At 55.8% G+C, this 15,390-nt stretch overlaps 1 pseudogene across 1 annotated transcript in view, besides 1 other annotated feature; it reads left to right on the top strand.

Annotated features, from left to right (window-relative positions):
• PI4KAP2 (phosphatidylinositol 4-kinase alpha pseudogene 2) overlaps positions 1 to 15,390 on the top strand; it is a 44,494-nt pseudogene that overhangs the window by 26,317 nt on the left and 2,787 nt on the right. Inside the window, 13 exon segments of the transcript NR_003700.1 lie at positions 2,794 to 2,951; positions 3,152 to 3,303; positions 3,503 to 3,610; positions 4,248 to 4,375; positions 7,041 to 7,170; positions 8,085 to 8,155; positions 11,173 to 11,245; positions 11,346 to 11,416; positions 12,481 to 12,590; positions 13,074 to 13,178; positions 13,260 to 13,385; positions 14,411 to 14,531; positions 15,015 to 15,173. The product of NR_003700.1 is annotated as a phosphatidylinositol 4-kinase alpha pseudogene 2 (transcript).
• Positions 556 to 1,361: an enhancer, noted in NCBI's record as "H3K4me1 hESC enhancer chr22:21844103-21844908 (GRCh37/hg19 assembly coordinates)". NCBI's record gives its function as "activates a minimal SCP1, AML or CMV promoter by ChIP-STARR-seq in primed H9 embryonic stem cells {active_cell/tissue: H9 hESC(primed)}" and the evidence as "EXISTENCE:reporter gene assay evidence [ECO:0000049][PMID:30033119]".

Raw genomic sequence — 15,390 nt, 5'->3', positions numbered from 1 at the left:
CCTCAGATAGGAGTGGGTCCTCAGATAGGAGTGGGTTGGTTGACCCCTGGGGGCAGGGCAGTTGGAGTACAGATATCACTAGCAGGTCCCAGATGGTAGGAAGACAGATCAGCTCAGGGAAAGCTGCTCACAGCCTCCTTCAGAGTTCTGGGTCTTGAAAGCAGCTGTTTTGGGAGCCTAACTGCTTTTCCCAGGGACTTAAGGCCTTTGTAATTTTTGTAGCCCTTTCATCCTCCAGAATAAAGGGACCTTCTTGAGCTCAGGGCCTTCTCAGTACTGGCATGCCCCAGGGCTCCTCCTCCCTGCCTGGCTACTCTGGCCAGCTCCACTGCTTACCCAGCCCAGTCACTCCTAGTCCAGGTGGATCCCTTCAGTGGCTTGGCCCATGGCCTGCATGGTGAACTGATTAGCAGCCCCAACTAATGGGTCCAACCTCAGCTCCAGACACCGCTGCGCTGGTCGCCCATCCGCCATCACTGTTGATGCCAGGGTGGTTCTTCCCTTCACTGTTGATGCCAGTGGGGCCCCTCCCTTTACTGTAGATGCCAGTGTGGCCCCTCCCTTTACTGTAGATGTGAGCGAGGTCCCTCCCGTCACTAGATGCCAGCTAGGTCCCTCCCTTTACTGTAGATGCCAGCGTGACCCTTCCCTTCACTATAGATGCCAGCGAGGTCCCTCCCTTCACTGTAGATGCCAGCGAGGTCCTTCTCTCTGCTCAGACATCTTTGACTCCCTCTTATGCACATCCCACTGATGACTCTCAGCACATCCCATCACCTTCACCTTTGAGGTTTATCCAGGATCTGACAAGTCCCAGCATCCCAGCTGCTGCCCCCTGGCCTGGCCTCCTGCTCCCCAACCCCAGGCATCTTCCCCTTCTCCACATGCGGTTGGCGCAAGCCAGGGGGGAATCAGAGCCCCCCTACAGACTCGAAGGTGGGCTTGTTTCTGTGACCTGCAAGCCCCCTTCCCACCTGACTTCCATCCTCTCTCTTCCCCTCGCTTGCTGTGCTGTGGCCATGCTGGGGTCCTGCTTGCACTTCCCACGGATGATTCTCAGCACATCCCATCAGTTTCACTTTTGAAGCTGCCCTCCTGGGCTGCTCCCACCATAGGCTGCGTCATGCATTCCCTCTTCTCAGATGGCCATGCCTTGCGCCTCACTCCTGCGTCTCCTCCAGGGCTCATCTCAGATGTCCCCTCCTTGCCAGGGCTCTCCCTGGCCACCTGGCCACACGCTCACTCGCACTGCTGTTTCTTAGTGTTTCTCAGTGTGTGTAGCTTATTTCTTGTTGTCTGTGGTCCCCACCATAGACTGTGTGGTCATGTTTGTCTTCATTCAGAGCACCATGCCCAGAGTCCACGAGGCCCTGGCACAGAGGCAGCCACCAGGATGTGGTTGTTTAACAAATAGATGGGAGTGTGTTTCTTCGATGGCTTCTTGTCCGTGGCAGTTCTGGGGTCCCCCCCACCGCCATTTTTTTGCTCCCTTGTCTGCTTCCATAAGACTAATCAGTCTGCAGGAAACAGAAAGCAGGCTGTAGTGCCTCGTCCCCCAGGAGTCCTCACCCCATGGGCAGATTAGAGGGAAGCAGCAGACAGAGCCCCGCCCCGGGCTCCCGTCGGCTCCTGGCCATCCTGGGCTTATGTGGCCTTTGTCTCCACCCTCACAGCCTCCAGATGGCTTCTGTGCCTCCCAGCAGGAAGGAAGACAAGGACAGAGTGCAAAGGGCAGAGGCCAGCTGCCTTGACCTTATGAAGCTCACCCTGGCATGTGTTCCCAGGGCCTTGCCCAGTTCACTCTCCCTGGCTCATTAGAGTGGCCGGGGAGAACAGTGGCTGCCTCAGCCAGCAGGGACCCTGGCTGAGAGCCCTGTGACTGGCCACGTGGCCACCCTGATCCACCTCATGAGGAAGAAGGGAGGGGATGGTACTGGGGAGGGAGCCGCGGTGTGTGTTCTACTCATTAGGCCTCGTTGCCACCTCTGCACAGGCGCTTGGAGCCCTTGTAGAAGCTGGTGCTGCTGGGACAACAGAGGGATAGAATCCTCTTTGGCCAGATGCCAAATGCTGTTTGTTGGTCTCCTTGTAAAAACACCCAGAAATCATGGGGGCTTTCCATGTGTGAGCTGCACCTCTTACTCTCTGCAGCACCCAGGTGTCTCCCGGGCACCATGCTGCTCCCTCTGGGCACCCCTCATGCCCCCCCACGGAATGGGGACCTGGCTGAGCATGACTGGGCCATGGGAGCAGCCTGACCCTGGGCTCCCAGGCCTGGCCATGGTGGCTGCAGGCTCGCCTCGGCTCCATGGGCCTTCCTAATCTGGTTAGCGGGATGAAGGTATCGGGTAGGGTCTGTGTGGGGTGGAGAGGAGGAGCCAGGCCCTGGATCCAGAACCCTCTTCTGCCCTTGCCAGCTCAGCAGCCCACAGAGGGGTCTTCCCGCTCACAGCCACAGAGGGTTATCAGGGTTATAGAGAAGAGTCACCTACCCAGTGCCTGTCAGGGCATCAGGTACATCCCGGGTGCTGCCACCTCACACCTGCAATGTCCACACGGTGAACCGGGTTGAACAGAATGCAGCCTCGAGAGGCTGGAGAAAATACACCAAGCACTGACACAGATGACCCTGGGATGTGGGACTATAGGCGATCTTCAATTTTTTCTTCATACTTTTCTTGGTTTCTAAATCTTATTCAGTGAGCACGTGTTCCTTTTTTTAATTAGAGAAAACTTGACAGTAGCCCCTTTTTGTGTTTCACAGAGGAGCTAACATTCCTTCTGTACCTGTAGTTCATGCGGGAGATGGCAGGGGCTGGCACATGACAGTGGAGCAGAAATTTGGCCTGTTTTCTGCTGAGATAAAGGAAGCAGACCCCCTGGCTGCCTCGGAAGCAAGTCAACCCAAACCCTGTCCCCCCGAAGTGACCCCCCACTACATCTGGATCGACGTACGTGCCTGTTCCCCCACGAAGGCTGTGGGGTGCTCCACCTGGGGGGCCAGGACTGTTCCTGGGGTGGGGGTAGCCGAGCCCAAGGCCTTCGGCAAGCTCGGCCAGTCAGCCCAGAACCCCTCCTCAGCTGTCTCTGCCGGCCCCAGGGTTAGCCCGGCTCAGCCCCACCACCACAGCGTCTTCCTCTTTTCGCTCAGTTCCTGGTGCAGCGGTTTGAGATCGCCAAGTACTGCAGCTCTGACCAAGTGGAGATCTTCTCCAGCCTGCTGCAGCGCTCCATGTCCCTGAACATCGGCAGGGCCAAGGGGAGCATGAACCGGCACGTGGCGGCCATCGGGCCCCGCTTCAAGTGAGGGCCCTCTTCCTGGGGAGCACAGGGCCCCTGGTGTGTACAGTGTGTCATGGGGCGTCTGTGTATCACGGTACTTCTGTAGACGGGGAACACATTTCAGTGAGCTGCTCCTGGAAGGGCAGGGAAGAGAGTCCATAAGGTGAACTTGGCCCCAGGCCAGGCTCCTGCTCTGACCGGGTCCGGGGCTCCCTCACAGGCTGCTGACCCTGGGGCTGTCCCTCCTGCATGCCGATGTGGTTCCAAATGCAACCATCCGCAATGTGCTTCGCGAGAAGATCTACTCCACTGCCTTTGACTACTTCAGGTACTCCCCCAAGATGTGCTGTGCAGCATCCAGGGACGGCCCAGCCCCTCCAAGTGCTCCATCGCCCCAGACCCCCAGGAAGTCACTCACAGGAATACACAGTTGCCCAGTTGTGCTCACCAACCTCCTCCTTCAGTATCCCTGGCCCTGTGGATTTAAATACCTTTCAGCCCTGTGCATGTGTCCCGTGTACTTAGAGCTAGCCTCCCAGCGAGATGTAGGCAAATTTTCCCTCAGTTCAACTGATTTAGGAGATTAAGTGCGTCCATTTAATTTCCCTGTTAATGTGAAGGCTTATTGCACGAAGAATTGCAAACACCCACTGCCTGGGGCTCTGCACCCATAGGCTGTGCTGTTGTGTGAGTGCAGCTTCCTTGCCCTGATCTGCCACAAGTGCAGCTTCAGTGGAAAGCTGTAGGGGCTGCTGTGGGCAGTGAGGGAGGAGGGCATAAGAGGGCTCCCGAGCCACCACACCTTCCCATGGGAATGGGCCAGATCATCCTTGCTAATGACTGGCTTTGGGCTGACCTTTTGTCATTAAGAAATTGTCTGCATCACCTTCTCACTGCTTTGTGTGACTGGCCTCTAGTCCCTGACTCCAGACACTCAGCCGTTGTCCTCTTATGGTTGTTTGAAGCTGTCCCCCAAAGTTTCCTACTCAAGGAGAGAAGCGGCTGCGTGAAGACATAAGCATCATGATTAAATTTTGGACCGCCATGTTCTCAGATAAGAAGTACCTGACCGCCAGCCAGCTTGTTCCCCCAGGTAACCCTCAACAGTGCAGCTGCTCATGGTGGAGGCAGGCAGGACAGGGGTGCAACGTGGGCAGCCCTGAGGGTGCCAGAGGTAGGGACGGAAAAGCAGTTAGACCCCCCTGAGCCCTGGCCTTGACTGTGTTGCACGGTCATTGGAGGCCGGTGCATGCCTGGCTCTGCTTCTCCTCTGGCCTGAGCTGAGAAGCATAAACACGCACCCGAGGCAGCTGAGCAGACTCCACTCACCGCACTTTCCCTGCACTGGCACCAGCTGCGTTCACACACCCCTCTGAGCAGCTGACGGCCCAGGATTGGGCTGAGGCTGGTGCACACCTACATGACTGGGGTATGGTCTGTTGTTGTCTTGTAGGAGGCAGTCAAATGGACAGGTGATTTCAATTTGAGGGAACTGTGGGAGCACTCCTCCGGTACAGACACTTGGCCCATCCAGAGTTGGGGAATCAGAGATGGTTTTCTGGAAAAGAGACAGTTGAGCTGAGTCTGAAAGGCTGCACCGGCATGCAGGGCGGACAGGGCAAAGCATTCCAGGGAAGGGAATGCCAAATGAAAACATGCCACGCAAAGAAGCAGCAAACCTCTGTAAGGAGGCCATGCCCTGTTCTCTCAGCGCCTAGCTGATTACTAAGCACAGACTGAGAGACGAGAGAGGGCTTTCTTTTTTTTTTTGAGAGACAGTCTCACTCTGTCGCCCAGGCTGGAGTGCAGTAGCGCAATCTTGGCTCACTGCAACCTCTGCCTCCTGGGTTCAAGCAATTCTCCTGCCTCAGCCTCCTGAGTAGCTGGAATTACAGGTGCTCGCCACCATGCCTGGCTAATTTTTTTATTTTATTTATTTATTTATTTTTTAATTTAATTTTTTTTTTTTTGAGACAGAGTCTTGATCTGTCGCCCAGGCTGGAGTGCAGTGGCACAATCTCGGCTCACTGCAAGCTCTGCCTCCCGGGTACATGCCATTCTCCTGCCTCAGCCTCCCAAGTAGCTGGGACTACAGGCGCCCGCCACCACGCCCGCCTAATTTTTTGTATTTTTTTAGTAGAGACGGGGTTTCACCGTGTTAGCCAGGATGGTCTCGACCTCCTGACCTCGTGATCCGCCCGCCTTGGCCTCCCAAAGTGCTGGTATTACAGGCGTGAGCCACCGCACCCGGACTTTTTTTTAAATTTTTTTTTTTTTGAGACGGAGTCTCGCTCTGTCGCCCAGGCTGGAATGCAGTGGTGCAGTCTCCGCTCACTGCAAGCTCCGCCTCCCGGGTTCACACCATTCTCCTGCTTCAGCCTCCCGAGTAGCTGAGACTACAGGCGCTCGCTACCACACCCGGCTAATTTTTTGTATTTTTAGTAGAGATGGGGTTTCACTGTGTTAGCCAGGATGGTCTCAATCTCCTGACCTCGTGATCCGCCCACCTCAGCCTCCCAAATTGCCAGGATTACAGGCATGAGCCACCGTGCCCGGCCAATTTTTTTATTTTTTAGTAGAGACGGGGCTTCACCATGTTGGCCAGGCTGGTCTCAAACTCCTGACCTTCTGATCCGCCCGCCTCAGCCTCCTAAAGTGCTGGGATTACAGGTGTGGGCCACATTGCCTGGCTGAGACCTTCTGATCCGCCCGCCTCGGCCTCCTAAAGTGCTGGGATTACAGGTGTGGGCCACATTGCCTGGCTGAGACCTTCTGATCCGCCCGCCTCAGCCTCCTGAAGTGCTGAGATTACAGGCATGAGCCACCGCGCCCGGCCCAGAAAGAGTTTTTAAGGGAAGCTATTGAGCTCACAGCAGCAGATCCAAGTTTTCCAAAAAAATGTTTCAGTTCCTTTGAGTGGAAGATTTATTTTTTGTTCATTTTCAGGAAAACATCTGCCACATCCCTAAGTCTGAATAGCTATATGTTGTCTGTCAGTCATTTCTTCAAGTAAAAACAAAGGTCTGTGAAAAAGGTTAGTCCAGGCTCCAAAATCAGACAAGCTCCAGGTGCTTCTTAGGACAGCGCCTGCCTTAGATGCGGCAAGAGTGCTTCGTGCACATCCCGTTTCATCACAAAGGATACTTTAAAAGCCAGATGTGGTGATGCGCACCTGTAGTCCCACCTACTAGCTGTAGTCCCAGCAACTCAGGTGACTGAGACAGGAGGATCTCTTGAGCCCAGGAATTTAAATTCAGCCTGGGATTTGAATAGTGAGAGGCACTATTTAATATAGAGCCCCGCCCACTGTGTGCCTCTATTAAAAAAAAAAAAAAGACATGTATTCAGGGTAGAGTTTAATAAGAATTAGTTTTCATTGCTTCACCTGTGACATTCATAAATGACACGGGCTCTTTTCTCCCTGCGTGTGCAGCAGTGAGGATTCTATGCCCTGTGACATTCATAAATGACACGGGCTTTTTTCTTCCTGCGTGTGTAGCGTGTGCAGCAGTGAGGATTCCACGTCCACTTGTGCGCTTGGCCCCTACCTTGAGCTCCGCTTAGGCACCAGCTTAGCTTCCCAGCAGTGTCGGCTGTGTCAACACAGCAAAAGGGGCACACGGCAGCTGTTATGGTCTCACCAAGCCTGCAGAGCATACTCTGGGCACCGCCAGTCTGGGGCCTGGGAAACAGGGCTGGTATTCCTGAGGGGCCTCTGCCACAGCCACAGAGACTCAGCCTCTTTGTTTCCTTGGCAGCTGACATCGGCGACCTCCTGGAGCAGTTAGTAGAGGAGAACACAGGCTCCTTGTCGGGCCCAGCGAAGGACTTTTACCAGCGGGGGTTTGATTTCTTTAACAAGATCACCAACGTGTCGGCTGTCATCAAGTAAGTGCAGTGCTTCGGAAACCACCTTCTGGAATCTTGTTCCAGTCCCTGCAGCTTAACAGAATTGCCTGGGAAGCTTTAAAAATACCCGTGCGTGGCCCCAACCAGATGAATGAGAGTCTCTAGCAGCGGGGCTGCTGGTGGTTCTGATGGACAGCCAGGGTGGGTGGGGAAGCACTGCTTGGGGTGAGTCAGGGCTCTTGAAGGTATGGCAGAATGCACGGCCACGCCAGTTTCAGGAAACACAGCTTAGTTTCATTCCTGAGATTTGTGGAATTTAGCACATGGCTCCACAATTTGAGGTCACCCTGCCCTCTCCACACTCTGAAGGATCGATCCTCTTGGTGTCAGGAAAACCAGACTGCCTTTGCAGCTCCTGTCATCGTTTTCCTAGACCTTCCATTCATGTGGACCTGACACCATCCTTGGATGTTGGTGGCTTTGTGCATTCATAAGGGATGAAACCCTGGAGTCATCAATGCTGGGCACGCTGGCTGGGCTGTCTCCATTGCTTACACTGCTCTGACCTTGGTCACTTTGAGGCCCTTTTCTGGGCTGGGTGCTGAGAATAGCAGTGCTGGCAGCTTCTAACCCAAGAGATGAAGGACGGGAGCTAGCGTTTCCTGGGTGGCAGCAGGTGGCAGGCATTATTACCCCCACCACCCCCAGCCACACACCCCCGCCCACAGCAGGGGCAGAGCCTGCCAGAAAACAGCCCTTCCGGGGCTGTCGGGGTTTCTCCATGAGGAATGCAGGGCAAGAATCGCTGCCAGTGGTGCCTGGCTGCGCTAGGAGCAGCTAGAGCCGGGAAGAGAGGGACAGAGAGGGCAATCCAGGCAGGAGGGGCCCTGGGCTGTCCCCCAGCAGCCAGTTCCTCCAGGAGACAAAGCAAGAATTTCTTTCCTGTTTCTCAGGCCCTACCCTAAAGGCGACGAGAGAAAGAAGGCTTGTCTGTCGGCCCTGTCTGAAGTGACGGTGCAGCCAGGTGAGCAGGTGGCTTCTGGAGGCTCAGACCAACCTCTTCCTGCAGGCGGGCGGCGGGGCGTGAAGGCTGCTGCCCTCTCCAGGCACTACAGGATGTGGACACAGTGGCTTGGCCAGCCCCACACCTGCTTGGGCCCACGGTGCCTGGTGCCCCAGGACCCCAGCCCCTCCCCAAAATCTGCCGCTAGTGAGCGGGAGCTGCTCGTCAGTGGGTGCCCTTCATCTTCCTTGCTGCCTGCTGTTTTTCTGGAGGCTCACACTGACCTCAGTAGCTGTTACTCTAGAAGAGGGTTCCTAGGCTCCAGCATTACAGGAGCAGGTCACACAGACGAGGGGATGGCGGGCCCAGTGTGGGAGGGCTCAGGTGTGCTGGGACCCATCAGCACCACCCCCTCACCGCCTCCATGGGAAGTCGCTCCTGGGTGCCTGTGGCTGTGGCCACATGGGAATTCAAGCCGAGCTTTTCAAGAGAAGATGGAAATCCAGACTTCACTGGGCAGCTCTCTCTCCATTTCTTTTTTTTTTTTTTGCGATGGAGTCTTGCTCTGTCGCCTCAGCCTCCCGAGTAGCTGGGACTACAGGCGCCCGCCACCACACCCGGCTAATTTTTTTGTATTTTTAGTAGAGTCAGGGTTTCACCGTGTTAGCCAGGATGGCCTCAATCTCCTGACCTTGTGATCCTCTCGCCTCGGCCTCCCAAAGTGCTAGGATTACAGGCATGAGCCACTGTGCCCGGCCTCTCTCTGCATTTCTAACTATTGGCACAAACTTGTCTTCCAAACTCTGTCTGTCCCGTGCAGATGTTCACAGCGGCTGGTCCTTGAGTGCCCTGCAGGACCCCGGTTTAACCATTTCTTCCCAACACGTTGTGTTGAGCTCATACAACAGCACGGCTTCCCAGAGAGGGCAGGACATGTATGCAGGGCCTTTGTTCCCGCATCGGGAAGGCCACAACTGCTGGGGAGGGGCAAAAAGAGCTGGAAGCATTGTACTGCAGGGGGCATGCACAGAAGTCCCCAGCCCCTGGCTCTAGATTGTGTTGGCTGAGTCTTGCCCCAGAGGTCAGGGAAGCCAGCAGGGCTCTAGCAGGAGAGCACAGAGGGGCCTGAGTGTGAGCCACAGCCTGGAGCAGGCAGAAGGGCAGGTGAGGAAGAGGAGGAGATGGCATGCCCCCCTCTCCCTGTACCCCACAGCAAGGCCAAGCTTGGCTCCCCTCAAAGCCCACCTCTCAGGGCTCAAGGAGCACACATCCCCCTTGGGGACTGGCAGTTCCTTGGCCAGAAACAGGCTTTCCCTTGTCCTCTTATTTCACACATTTACTGAGCACTCACTGAGAAAGGGGAGCCTGGGCCGGGCGCGGTGGCTCATGCCTGTAATCCCAGCACTTTGGGAGGTCAAGGCAGGTGGATCACCTGAGGTCAGGAGATCAAGACCATCCTGGCTAACACGGTGAAGCCCCGTCTCTACCAAAAATACAAAAAATCAGCCAGGTGTGGTGGCGGGCGCCTGTAGTCCCAGCTACTCGAGAGGCTGAGGCAGGAGAATGGCGTGAACCCGGGAGGCAGAGCTTGCAGTGAGCCAAGATTGCGCCACTGCGCTCCAGCCTGGATGACAGTGCGACACTCGGTCTCAAAAAAAAAAATTAACCAGGCATGGTGACGCGTGCCTGTAATCCCAGCTACTTGGGAGGCTGAGAACAAGAATCACTTGAACCCAGGAGGTGGAGGTTGCAGTGAGCCGAGATTGCACCACTGAACTCCAGCCTGGGTGACAGAGTGAGACTCTGTCTCAAAAAAGCAAAAACAAGAAAAGAAAAGGCATGACATTGGGTATTGTGGCTGTTAAAAAGATGAGTAAGACATGGTCCCTGAGCTGAAGAAGCTTGAACTCACAGAGATATAAAATAAGCATAAAGAAACAATGTTGGCCTGGCACGGTGGCTCATGCCTTAATCCCAGCACTTTGGGAGGCCAAGGCGGGTGGATCACCTGAGGTAAGGAGTTCCAGACCAGCCTGGCCAACTTGGTGAAACCCCATCTCAACTAAAAGTACACAAATTAGCCAGGCGCGGTGGCGGGCGCCTGTAATTCCAGCTACTCGGGAGGCTGAGGCAGGAGAATCGCTTGAACCTGGGAGGCGTAGGTTGCAGTGAGCTGAGACCGAGCCACTGCACTCCAGCCTGGGCGACAGAGTAGGACTCCGTCTCAAAAAGAAAAAGAAAAAAAGAAACGTGTTAGACAAAAGTCCTAAAGGCTGGGAGAACCAAGGACAGTTCATGGACATAGTGACATTTAAGTAAGGCTTTTGAGAGAGTAGTGTTCAAATGGGTAAGGAAGGCCGGGCGTGGTGGCTCACACCTGTAATCCCAGCACTTGGGAGACCAAGACGGGTGGATCGCTTGAGGTCAGGAGTTTGAGACCAGCCTGGCCAACATGGCGAAACTCCATCTCTACTAAAAATATAAAAATTAGCCAGGCATGGTGGCAGGCACCTATAATCCCAGCTACTCAGGAGGCTGAGGCAGAAGAATTGCTTGAACCTGGGAGGCGGAGGTTGCAGTGAGCCAAGATCGCACCACTGCACTCCAGCCTGGGTGATAGAGTGAGACTCTATCCAAAAAAAAAAAAAAAAAAAAAAAAACAGGGACTCCAAGAATGGAGGGCTGTTCAGAGGGTTGCTCAGGCAGGTGGAGGCAGGACAGGCCTCACACACACCCCCAGAAGCAGTAGGGCTGTATCCGTGAGGATGGGGCTCAGTGCTCCTCTAGGAAGAGCATTTCCCAGAAGGTGCAGACTCATTTGGTCGATGGCTGGAAGAGTCGAAGAGTCAAGGAGGACGGACCCTTAGCGGCCACAGAATAATAAGTTAGTGGTGCCCTGGACAAGGACCAGAGGCCCCTCCACAGGGGTGGGGTGTGCCTGCAGGGTGGACACGCACGTAACATCCGTGTTGGAAACTGACTCTGGCTCACCTGTGGTGACACATGCACTCCCTGTGACTGCCTCTGTCCCTGCACAGGCTGCTCCCTGCCCAGCAACCCCGAAGCCATTGTGCTGGACGTCGACTACAAGTCTGGGACCCCGATGCAGAGGTGAGCGCCTCACCCTACCCATCCCCCGCTTCCACAGCGTCCGCGTGTGAAGTTTTTCTCGGCTGCATCATGGGTGCCACATTCTTTTTGTTGTTTTCAGTGCTGCAAAAGCCCCATATCTGGCCAAGTTCAAGGTGAAGCGATGTGGAGTTAGTGAACTTGAAAAAGAAGGTCAGTAAAGAACCCTGATTTTGTTTGGGAGCTCAGTGCTTTTCCTTGCTAATGCCAGTTTCTTCTGGCATGTGTTAAATTTAGTACAGCTCTCCATAAAAGATGATGTCTGTCCATCTGTCTGCCCTCAGTCAGACCCCTCACTAGGGGATGGCAGGGAGCTCAAATGCACTGACAGATGTGCCACCCCAGAGGTCTGTCTGCCGTGAGTCAGCTGGCATGCTCCAGCAGGCTCCTTCCTGAGGCTGAGGGGCCCGGGGCTGTTGGGGGGTGTTAGTTTCCCAGGGCTACCGTACGGACGATCTCAGTTCTGGAGGCTGGAGTCCATCATCAGGGTCGTGCCCCCTCTGAAGGCTCTGGGCAGGTCACACCTTGCCTCCTCAGCTTCTGGTGGTGTTGCCAGCAGTCCTGGGCTCACCTTGGCCTGCAGATGCTCCACTCCCATCTCCGCCTCCCTCTTCACATGATGATCTCCCTTGAAGGACATCAGTCATTGGATTAGGGACTGTCCTAATCCACTGTGACCTTGTCTTAACCTAATTACATCTGCAAAGACCCTGTTTCCAAATAAGGACACATTCTAAGGTTTGGGGTGAACATGAATTTTAGGGAGACACTCTTCAACCCAGTACAGACGGTGTGGCCAGCTGTGGAGAGGGGGCTGCCACCCCTTGCAGGGACCTGCCTCCCATGGCCATGTCTGCACACTGGCCCCGAGCCCTCCCAGGACCCCAGTGTACAGACACATTCCTCCTGCCCCCCAGCTCACAGCACCCAACACTGACTCAGGCACACCTGGGTCTTCACTGCAGATGAAATGGGGCTCTGTTTTTAGTTCCATTTAAGCCTAAATGTTCTTAGACTCCAACCCTGGATTCCACCTGCTGTTCCAAGGCTTTCCTTGGGCCCTGCTGGGCTCCTCCTTGGCCTCCTTGGGGTTTTGAAGAAGTGATCCCCAAGATTGCTGGGGTTCCTTTCAGGCATGTGAGAGGACTCATCCCTGGCCCCCTCAGAGGGCTTCTCACTGCCTACAGGCTAACAGTGGCCTCTCTCCCTGCGGGCAGGTCTGCGGTGCCGCTCAGACTCTGAGGATGAGTGCAGCACGCAGGAGGCCGACGGCCAGAAGATCTCCTGGCAGGCAGCCATCTTCAAACTGGGAGACGACTGCCGGCAGGTAAGCAGGGTCAGGCCTCAAGTAGGCTTGGGGACTGGGCTTGCTGCTCCCCAAGGCTCCAGGCCCACCAGAGTCCAATCTCATATGCAGAAATGTGAATCTTTTCCTTCTCTTACATGGTTCAGGTGCCACGGGGTAAATTAGGGCTTCTGCAAAACCCAGAGGCCTCTCCTTCCAGCCCCTTTCCCACTGTCCCTGCCATGCCAGTGCCCACCTGAGGGAACTGTCCAGGGGTTGGGTGCCTTATCTCACACACCCCACCAGACAGCTCAGCCTCATGCTCAGCCCAGGGCCTGGTGGTCCCAGCAGCCTGAGTCCAGCCCCCGGTGGTCAGAAAGGAAGGCCTTCCAGACTCTTGCTCGGCTGTGGTCTCCCCACCTCACTCCATCTCTGGGTGCTCGGCTTTTGCCCTGCATGAGCCAGAAGAGCTACTGGGGTGCAAGGATGCCAACTGACCGCATCCTGCGCCTCCCGGCTTCCCAGGACATGCTGGCCCTGCAGATCATCGACCTCTTCAAGAACATCTTCCAGCTGGTCGGCCTGGACCTCTTTGTTTTTCCCTACCGCGTGGTGGCCACTGCCCCTGGGGTAAGTTCCCTGAGTGGAGCCAGTAGGGCAGCCCTGGGCACCTCGCACCCGGCGGGCCTCAGAACTGGCCTTTCCTCCTAGTGCGGGGTGATCGAGTGCATCCCCGACTGCACCTCCCGGGACCAGCTGGGCCGCCAGACAGACTTCGGCATGTACGACTACTTCACACGCCAGTACGGGGATGAGTCCACTCTGGCCTTCCAGCAGGTAGCCAGGGTGGCCACAGGCCGGGGAAAGTCGTGTGCGCTCCACCCTACCCCAGCCACCCATACCCAGCCTCTACCCACACCCTGCTCTCCTCAGTCATCCTTTGTTAAGGGTTAAAACCAGGGCACCTGGGCTGGGCACGGTGGCTCACGCCTGTAATCCTAGCACTTTGGGAGGCCGAGGCGGGCAGATCACGAGGTCAAGAGATCAAAACCATCCTGGCCAAAATGGTGAACCCTGTCTCTACTAAAAATACAAAAATTAGCTGGGCATAGTGGCACGCGCCTGCAGTCCCAGCTACTCAGGAAGCTGAGGCAGGAGAATCGCTTGAACCCAGGAGGCAGAGGTTGCTGTGAGCCGAGATTGCACCACTGCACTCCAGCCTGGGCAACAGAGTGAGACTCCATCTGAAAAAAAAAAAAAAAAAAAAAAAAAAACCAGGGCACCTGGCCGGGCGCAGTGCTCACGCCTGTAATGCCAGCACTTTGGGAGGCCAAGGCGGGCAGATCATGAGGTCAAGAGATCGAGACCATCCTGACCAACATGGTGAAACCCCATCTCTACTAAAAGTAAAAAAATTAACTGGGCATGGTGGTGGGCACCTGTAGTCCCAGCTACTCGGGAGGCTGAGGCAGGAGAATCTCTTGAACCCAGGAGGCAGAGGTTGCAGTGAGCCAAGATCGTGCCACTGCACTCCAGCCTGGCGACAGAGCGAGACTCCATTTAAAAAAAAAAACACCAGGGCATCTGTAAGCCACTTTGGGAGTCAAAAGAATGTAGAGCTGGGCTGGACTCCTTAGAAGAAAGTTAAGTTCTGAGTGTGGGAGGAAGTGCCTGCACCCCCACATCCAGACAGCCCGTCACTCCTGCTGCCGAAGACTGACTTGCTGATTCGGGCTCTGCCTCCATAGTGGGGGCACAGAGCCAGGGAGAGTGCCCACAGGCCCAGGGATCCTGGGTGTGGGACCAGGGAGAATGCCCACAGGCCCCAGGGCCTTTTTGAGCCCAGGGCGCTCTCTGCACAGGCCCGCTACAACTTCATCCGAAGCATGGCCGCCTACAGCCTCCTGCTGTTCCTGCTGCAGATCAAGGACAGACACAACGGCAACATTATGCTGGACAAGAAGGGCCATATCATCCACATCGGTCAGCCAGCCACAGCGCCACCCTCCTCTCCCTTCACCCCGGCACCCAGGGGTGGATAGGGATCCCCACCCCACAGAGAGGAGAATGCCCAGGACCACCCTGCCAGGAGTGTCAGGGTCCAGCTCTGAGGTCCGAACTGTCGGCCACCAAGCTGTTCTGCTGTAGAGGGTGCCTGGCCCCGGCCCCAGGGAGCTGGGGCGAGAGCCGCCATTGCTCTGAGTCAGAAGCTGGAGCTGGGCGGAGTGGGGCTGGTCCAGGTTCAGTGCCCCAGCTTGGCTCCTTCCTCCACTTCCTCCCTTCTCTTTCTCTGCCTGCTGCCCCACCACCCACCCCATCACTGTCTCCAAGAAAACACAACCTGCCTTTTGGGGGTGGAGGGGGTGCTCCTGTTGAAGAGTCCTTTTCCACTCCTCAAAACAGACCACTCGTCCTTGCCCGCCCTGGCTCCTACCCAGTCACAGGCAGCTCTTTGGGGTTTTGCAGACTTTGGCTTCATGTTTGAAAGCTCGCCGGGCGGCAATCTCGGCTGGGAACCCGACATCAAGCTGACGGATGAGATGGTGATGATCATGGGGGGCAAGATGGAGGCCACACCCTTCAAGTGGTTCATGGAGATGTGTGTCCAGGCTACCTGGCTGTGCGGTGAGCCTGGGTGAGGGCCAGGGTGGAGGCGGAGGGGGTGTGTGGAACGTTCTGAGATCCCCTTTAGGATGAAGGGAATCGGGTTCCAGAGAGTGAGGTAGGTGCTAGCAGCCACCTGCTGACCTACACCTGTCCTTTGGTCACCTCTGTCTGCCCACCTGTGCCAATAAATTCTTGCTCTGGGCATCTAATTCCAACCACCTTCCCCACAATCCTG

The sequence above is a fragment of the Homo sapiens genome, chromosome 22 (genome assembly GCF_000001405.40).
Source record: "Homo sapiens chromosome 22, GRCh38.p14 Primary Assembly".
In the NCBI taxonomy this organism is placed as follows: Eukaryota; Metazoa; Chordata; class Mammalia; order Primates; family Hominidae; genus Homo; species Homo sapiens.
The sequence above is the reverse complement of the archived record's forward strand: the minus strand, read 5'-3'. Positions and strand labels throughout refer to the sequence as shown.